The 8,012-nt window shown below is 34.1% G+C and overlaps 1 protein-coding gene across 6 annotated transcripts in view; it reads left to right on the forward strand.

The window, feature by feature from the left end:
- ANO3 (anoctamin 3) overlaps nucleotides 1-8,012 on the forward strand; it is a 474,482-nt gene that overhangs the window by 360,259 nt on the left and 106,211 nt on the right. For all 6 annotated transcript variants that reach the window (NM_001313726.2, NM_031418.4, XM_047427399.1 and 3 more), the window contains one exon: nucleotides 4,183-4,279. In NM_001313726.2, coding sequence (NP_001300655.1) covers nucleotides 4,183-4,279 — 97 coding nt within the window. The remainder of the gene's footprint in view (nucleotides 1-4,182; nucleotides 4,280-8,012) is intronic.

An 8,012-nucleotide genomic window follows, 5' to 3' on the forward strand; every position in this document is an offset into this window, starting at 1 on the left:
ACAGACTTCCCCACTCCACCACTACAAAGCTGAAAATGAACAAAGAGGAATGAAGGGAATAGATTTGCTGTTTCTATTGATTTATATACCAATAGAGTAAATTAGGCTCTTTTTGTATGAGATAATTATTCTCTAACCTTTGGTACAAGGAGTGTTCTAAAAGGCATTAGTAAACTCTTTTCTTCAGTGTTGTATGGCATTATATTACTCCCACTTCTGTCACACTATAATTAAGATCCTGTCAGACTTTCTATTCTAAACCAAGATAAGCAGCACTGAATATCTTGACTGAAAATTTGGGGACTGAAATTTTCCATTCAAGGTGTCAGACGTGGTTGAGTTGTAGGTGTTATCATGGTGGGTGGGGGAAGGAGAGCAAGCTTTTATTTTGTGTGGACTTACGTTAGCATAATTTTATTAAACTCTTTTTTGCTTGTTGCAGGGTAGAAAAATGTTCCAAAGATGCAGATGTGGCTCTATTGATCATGTTTCTACAAGTTATGTCCAACTAAATTAAGATCATGTTTCTCAATTGCCCTGCACTTAATTATAGAAGTATATAACAATCAGGTTTTAGATGATTGTATATACATACATGTATATATTTACATGTATACACTGGTCTTACATAATCAAATATGGCCATATCTGTGCCTGGGAAAAGATACAGGAATTTGAAAATGAACAGGCAGACACGTGTGGCCTGGTTTTAAGGCCCTGGGTTTCAGAAACCAGGAAGCAGAGCTGAAGCCCCAACTCTCTGGCCTATTATTGCCTCTTCAGCATCAGAACTCACCAAGAAATTAATGTGGTTCTCAATATTGACCAGATTTTTAAAAGTCGTTTCTTAGAGGATTTCCAAGCCCTCTCTTGACACTGTCCTTAGCAATAAGCTTCTTCCATTTATCAAGTCCCTGTAATGTGTAAAGTACATTGTAAAAATTTTTAATCTAATATCCCAGTTAGATATCCCCATACAAGATGAAGAAATTGATCCTTTAAAAAAAAAATGACTTTGTCAGGCAATATATCTAGTAAGTGGTCAGCTAAGTTTCAAGCCTATTTCTGATTTTTAAAATTATCAACAGTATTAACAATTATATGATTATGATTAATATATAATTATTACAGAAATAAATTAACACAATTAATTAATGTTTTATTAATTTATATTTAATTATCAATTGATTATTAATAAATATTTATTAGTGATGAGAACACAGAGTGACATCTACCCCCTTAATAAATTTTTAAGTGCACAAGACAGTATTATAGACCACAGGCACAATGTCATACAGCAGTTCTCTGGAATTTATTCATATTACATAACTGAAACTTTTTATCCGTTTTACCCTCCATTCCCTCCTTCCCCTAGCCAATGGCAACCACCATTTAACTCTGTTTTTTATAAGTTTGACTATTTTATATACCTCATATAAGTTGAATTATTCAGTATTGGTTATTCTGTGACTGGCTTAATTCACTTAGCATAATTTCCTCTAGGTTTATCCATGTTATCACATATGGCAGGATTTCCTTCTTTTCTAAGACCAAATAATATTGCATTACACATATATACCACATTTTCTTTCTTCATTCATCAGTCAATAAACATTTGGATTGTTTCCAAATATTGGATATTTTTAATAATTCTGAAATAAATGTGGGAGTGCAGACAGCACTTCCAGATCATGATTTCATTTCTTTTGGATATGTATCCAGAAGTGGGATTGCTGAATCATATGGTAATTCTATTTTTGATTTTTTGAGAAACCTCCCTACTGTTTTTCATAGCAGTGGACCATTTTAGATTTCTACCAGCAGTGTACAGGATTACAATTTCCCCGCATTCTCACCAATACTTACTCTTTAAAAGAGTAGTAGCAATCCTAACAGGTGTGAGGTGATTTTTTATTGTAGTTTTGATTTGCATTTCTCTGATGATTATGTCTGATTTTAAAAGCAATGATTTATCCATAATGCCCTACTGGTTTTCCTTAAACCTAGTTTCACACTTTTCCCCAAAAATGTGTACCACAAAGCAAATATTTTATCTTCCATTCTTTATCATGTTAGCTGGATTATAAGGAAGCATGAGAACCCTCAAGTGAGTGGGTCCAAACATCCACCTCCATATAGAAAATTTATCGCTACTTTTATCTTTAATTGGTAGTAATGATTATTTCTTTGGAATCACACTTGATGTGTATATTTAGCAATAAATACAAAACAAAAGAAAACCACAATTTGAGTGGTTGTTTGGATTGTCAAGCACTGCAAAAGAAATTAAGAAACACTCATGATGGGAACTCTCTCTCCCTCTAGTGGTTAAGTAAAGTCAAAGAAACTTGTGATACTCTTAAATATTTTAGACTAAAAAATGTCAAAAGTTTTGTGATGATTTTTGTGTACCATGTATCAAGTTGAATGTTGAGTAACTTTCAGAAAATGAATGTAATGATTCTAGCAGTAAAAAGATTCTGGAATTCTAGACTTGGTGCTTCAATAAATCTGAGCTTTTGATTGACTCCATTTGGAAATTGAGAAAGATTATGTCATATAAACAAACTTCAATACCTTTTTAGTATAAGATTCTAAAGCAGGACAAATTGTATCATTTGTGAAACAATGAATTATGTTAAAAAGCTCATTTCAATTTTTTTCAAGAAGTGTGTTAATAGTTCTTATTCCTACAAATTACTAGTATTGACATAAGAGGAGATATAATCTTCTCTTTCTTTTTGGTTTTTAAAATGTGTAGTTTACCTGCTTTCTCCTACTTTATGTAGACATCCTGATTACTAGTAAGATGATGAGTGTGAAAGTAGAAGAGCTATAGTATATGTAAGACCCATTTCATCATCGTGATCACTAATAAATTATTACTTGATAGAAAAGTTCCCTTAAAATATGAAACAAACTGTATCTCTCTTTTAGATATAGTTGATGGAGAACTGGATCTACAATCAGAAAACCTAAGCTTGGGGTCCCTGAAGTACCTCTAGCTAGCTCTATAATGTTGAGCAAGTTCCTTAAATTGAACATTGTTTTTCTCTTTTTACTGGAGATAATTGCCATTACCCAAGATTGGAGTGAAGACTAAACAATTTGACAGACATAAAATCATCTTTGCCCGCTGTAAAGCATCATGTTACTATGTGGTATCATTACTTACTATTGATCCCCACTTTGGCTTGAGATTATATACATCCCATACTTGAAATACACATGGAAATTCACACGCATTCTTTTTTTTGGTTCAAGTACAAATGTGTAAAAACAACAAATCTTGCTGTAAACATTGCCAATTAAACTTGTATTAAGAGCTGAATCCAGACACATTTTCTAAAGCCTTTAAATTCCTTTCAACATTTCTAGAGAAGAGTTAATTCAGGGGATACTAAATGGGAAAGGGCCATGTATGAGAGGAAAGGGCACAAAGCGTCCTGCAAATAAGTTGCTGAGAACTGTGAGTCTGAGGCTCTTCGGAAATTGTTATTGATGTGTTAGTGCTGTCACAAAGTCATCTAAAATGTATGCTGAGAAATTTTCTTAAAGGCAGTGGACATAAAACTGAAGAGATGTGTCATAAAGTTACATTCTATTAGAGAACATATTTACATAAATATAAACTATGGCATGTCATTGTGACAGTGTATGTCAAGGTGCTGCAAAAAAAACCCAACAAGCAAACATAAAAAAGCAATTATTTTAATCTCCAATGAACATTCTGCACCAACAATATGTACTGCAGTGGGTGTTATAAATTGTGTGATCACCAGACTTGAGAAAACCAAATAGGTTTGATTCCATCTCAGCCACTTCCAAGCCTGCGAGTTTGGCTAAAACTCCATTGGTATACCGCACAAGATTATCCTGAGTGCCATGAAATCATGTATAAAAGTGTCATTGTAGACAAAGTTTCACCATTTATCACACAATTATCTTGACAGCATTTTCTAAAATTAAAGAAGGAATCCCAAACTTTTGCATCACAAATATTCTAAAGTGTTTGAATTGGAGTCACACCACAGTGCCCACCACTCCCCACTATTCCCATTTCTTCTCCTTTTCCTCTCTGCCTTGCTGGTTCCAACAGGATTTGCTGTAGGGGCTAAGTGAATTCTTAGTCACAGTTTCATGCTATGTTTTGTTTTGTTTTTGTTTTTGTTTTTTCTCAAGCCAAGAAATTTGTAAAGCCACTGAAGTCTTTATGTGCCCTCTCTGTGACAAGAACTGCTCCCTGCAGAGACTCAACGACAGCTGTATCTATGCCAAGGTGAGTGTGGACCCTCACATTCTCCTCCCTGAGCTGTACTGAGAAGCAGGCTGTAAGAAGTCCTCTAGTCAATAGCTTTTTACCAAAGTTAAGTGTTCTCAAGAGTTTCAACCTTAATAAGTGCCATTGACAACTGAATAAAATGTCAGTCTATTGCAATTAGAAAGCGAGTATACTTTTATTTGAACATTTTTGTCTTCCTTTGTTTTTATAACTGATTTTTGCCACCATAGATAAACATAAACTTCCACATGTAATTATATCTAGATTCTTTTTAGCAAACAATTACTTCTATTGCTACTTACTAAATGTGTACGTTACATGAAAACTTATGAAGTTAAAATACTTCTATCGGTACGGAGAAAATGAAATAACATTCAAAAAATCCCCAAATTGCTGCCTGTTAGAATTAACTGAACGGCTTTTAAAACTCCTGAAGCTCAGATCAACCCCAGAACAATTAAATCAGAATCTTTGGGATTGGAACATGAATATCGGTGTATTTCAAATTTTCCTGGGTGATTTCAATGTTCCTTCAAGTTTAAGAAACACTGAATTCTACATTATTATTTTCGTTTGTAAAACAGTTTTATAGAAGTGTAATTAACATGTAATGAAATGTACCTACTTAAAGTGTATGAATTGATATATTTTGTTATATGCGTGCACCTGTGAAACCGTTAGCATAATCAAGATAATGAACATATCCTCTCCAAAATTTTCCTCACGCCCTTTCAATCCCTGCCTCCCTGACCTTCCCCTGTGCTCTAGCAGCCACCTGCTTTGTGTCATTATAGATAAATTTGTATTTTCTAGATTCTTGTGTAAATTGAATCCTGTGTATTTATGTATTTTTTTCTGGCTTCTTTCACACAGCATATGTATTGAGATTCATTCATAATGTAGCATTTATCAATAGATCATTTTTATTGCTGAACATTATTCCATAATATCTATACCCTGTTTGTTTATTTCTTTACCTATTATCAAAATTTTGGATTGTTTCAAATTGTTGCCTATTTTAAAAAAGTCTTCTATTAACATTCATCTACAAGTCCTTATATGGACAAATGCTGTCATTTCTCTTGGGTAATTACCTAGGAGTAGACTGGTTGGATCATGTGATAGGTATATGGTTAGCCTATGAAAACCCTGTTAAGCAAAACTTTTCCCATGTGTTTATATCTTTTACATACCCACCCATGGTATATGAGAATTCCAGTTTTCTGTGTAGTCACCGAGCCTCGGTGTGGTCAATCTTTATGAATTTTAACAATTCTAATGCTCTTTCTGTGTACGCTACCCAAGTCACTGTGCATAATGAGGGCTCCCAGTGGCTGGTCTGACTCCAGTCTCTCAAGTGGTGCTTTCCTTGACAGATGGTTTCCTTGCATACATACTCACTGAGTACTGCCTAGGTTATTCTTCTCTACACCCTGGGAACTCTTCAAGGCAGTAATCTGAGGAGTAATAATGTGAGCGTTGTTTGTTTTCCGTCTCTCAGGGATCATTGCCCTTTTTTGCCTGATGTCTACCATCTTGTAATCTGTTGTTTTATACATTTTGTGCATTTTGGGGGTGTTTCCAGCATAGGGATAAAATCAATCCCTCTTACTCCATCTTTTCCAGAGTGGAGGTCTCCATACAATTAATTTTGACAAGGCTGGGTGCAAAATCCAAAGCCACTCAATGTCCTTACTACAAGAACATAACTTAGTAAAGTTAGTTTCTGATTTATCTTGAATGAAGAACATGTGAAAAGTCTGTTTCGTTTATACTTTAATTTCAGAACAAATGTTTAGTTTTTCATTCTTTTAAATGTTCCATAAAGATGATAGAGACTTAGAAACATGGTTATCTTGTTTGGAGGCAGCATTTTCTCATCACTTTTGGCAAGAACCAAGTGTGTTAAGAGTTATTAGATGTATACACATATGTCTCTCTCCTAGCCTATGATTTTAGACATAAAACAGCCTAGGAATGCCAAAAAAATCCAGATACTTCTTCTTTCACTTGGACATATCTAATAACACACATTGGCATTATTTTAACACTGAAGACAAGAAATATCCACATATGGCAGAGTGATAAAGTAAGGAAGCCGTCCAAGGAAACACTACATCTAGGTTGCTTTTGTCATCATGCAGTAAATACATCTCTTCTTTTCTGAACAGAGAAAGGTACATTTAAGGACAGGGATGACTCACAAAGAATTCACTTAATAACATGTATAAGGAAGGTGGAAAAGTTAGCTTGCAAAGGAGAATATTGCCTTATGGAAGAATACAAGAAATACAACCCACTAGGATGAAATGTCTTTTATTTGTTCCTCTGACTAAGATAAAATGTAGCTACTTGTTTTATACTTTAAAAATAAGAGTTCCTCTTCCCTTATTGGATGGAAATCAACAGTCTATTTTACTATATATTTTTGAATTTAAATAGCTAATAATTTATTGATGGGTAGAATCAGATATAAGGGAGCAGATTTTTGCCAAAGGTACAAGCCAACCAATCTAGGATCATCTAGAAACAAAATCATCTGGACACATGATCTAGGGACTTCTCAATTCAGTTCCTTACAGAATCCATTACTGCTTGTGACAAAGAAAAATAAATTAAATTTTCCATATTATATTGAAAAGGCCATGTGTGTACATATAATTATTCCCTTTATAATTTCAGTGATATGTTTGCATGGAAAATAACTGGTCCTATCATATGATAAAAATTAATATTTAAGTACATTAATGTTTCCTTTCATGACTACTTTTATTTTAGTACTTAAAAGTATTGGAATTAGGATATTTTTGCAATTAAGTAATTTAGTGATATTTGCACACATTTAAATGCACTGACACTACATTATCAAACCCTGTGATGCTAGGAATTCTCATTTAAGGTGAAATAATTAGATAGAGGTCCTAAATTGTTTTTCATATAATTGAAAAATGACTCAACCCCTTGAAGTTAAGTCTTACTCATAATAATTTTCTCTTTAAAAAAAAACTTGTTTAACAAACATGTACTCAATACCCAGTATGAACCTCAGACTGTATACTGATTTGAGGTTACAACAGAAGTAGGAGAGAAGCTGTTCTTTTCAAGAAACTTCATGAAAAAAAAAAAGGAGTCTGTATAAGACTGTACATCAGATCATCTAGAACATTTGTTAAAAAAGCAGATTTCTGGACCCCGTATCCTGAAATTTAGAATCAATTGGTCAAGGGTGAGGCCTCAAACTCTCTATGTTAACAAGTTCCTCAGGTGACTCTAATTTCTAGGACCAAATTTTTTAAAAGATACGTGGAGAATAGTCTAATCAAGACTGCATTTTTTATGTAGCTTCTGCCCAGGTCCAGCAAATAAAATGGTTATTCAGGTTTTACCCTGCCCAAGAGGTAAGGAATGAGGAAGTGAAAGGGAGTGACCTTCAGCTTCAATTCTGACTCCCTGCCCTCCAAGTCTCCAGTAATAGCTCTGCATACATGGTTGAATCTGCCAAGGAGGCACCTTGTTCTCCTTATCCTGGAGAGACTTTAGTGGGATATAAGTGGCATTTTTCAGAGCCTTATGTTTTTCTGAACCTATAAAGCAACTTTAGAACAAGACCCAGCAGGTATCATGGAGAAAACATAGACTTTCAGCTTCCAACCTAATCAGATATATATCTCTTTAACAGTACCCACATTTTTTGATTTGTAGTCACACTCAGTTCTTCAAGAGAAATCAG

The sequence above is a fragment of the Homo sapiens genome, chromosome 11 (genome assembly GCF_000001405.40).
Source record: "Homo sapiens chromosome 11, GRCh38.p14 Primary Assembly".
In the NCBI taxonomy this organism is placed as follows: domain Eukaryota; kingdom Metazoa; phylum Chordata; class Mammalia; order Primates; family Hominidae; genus Homo; species Homo sapiens.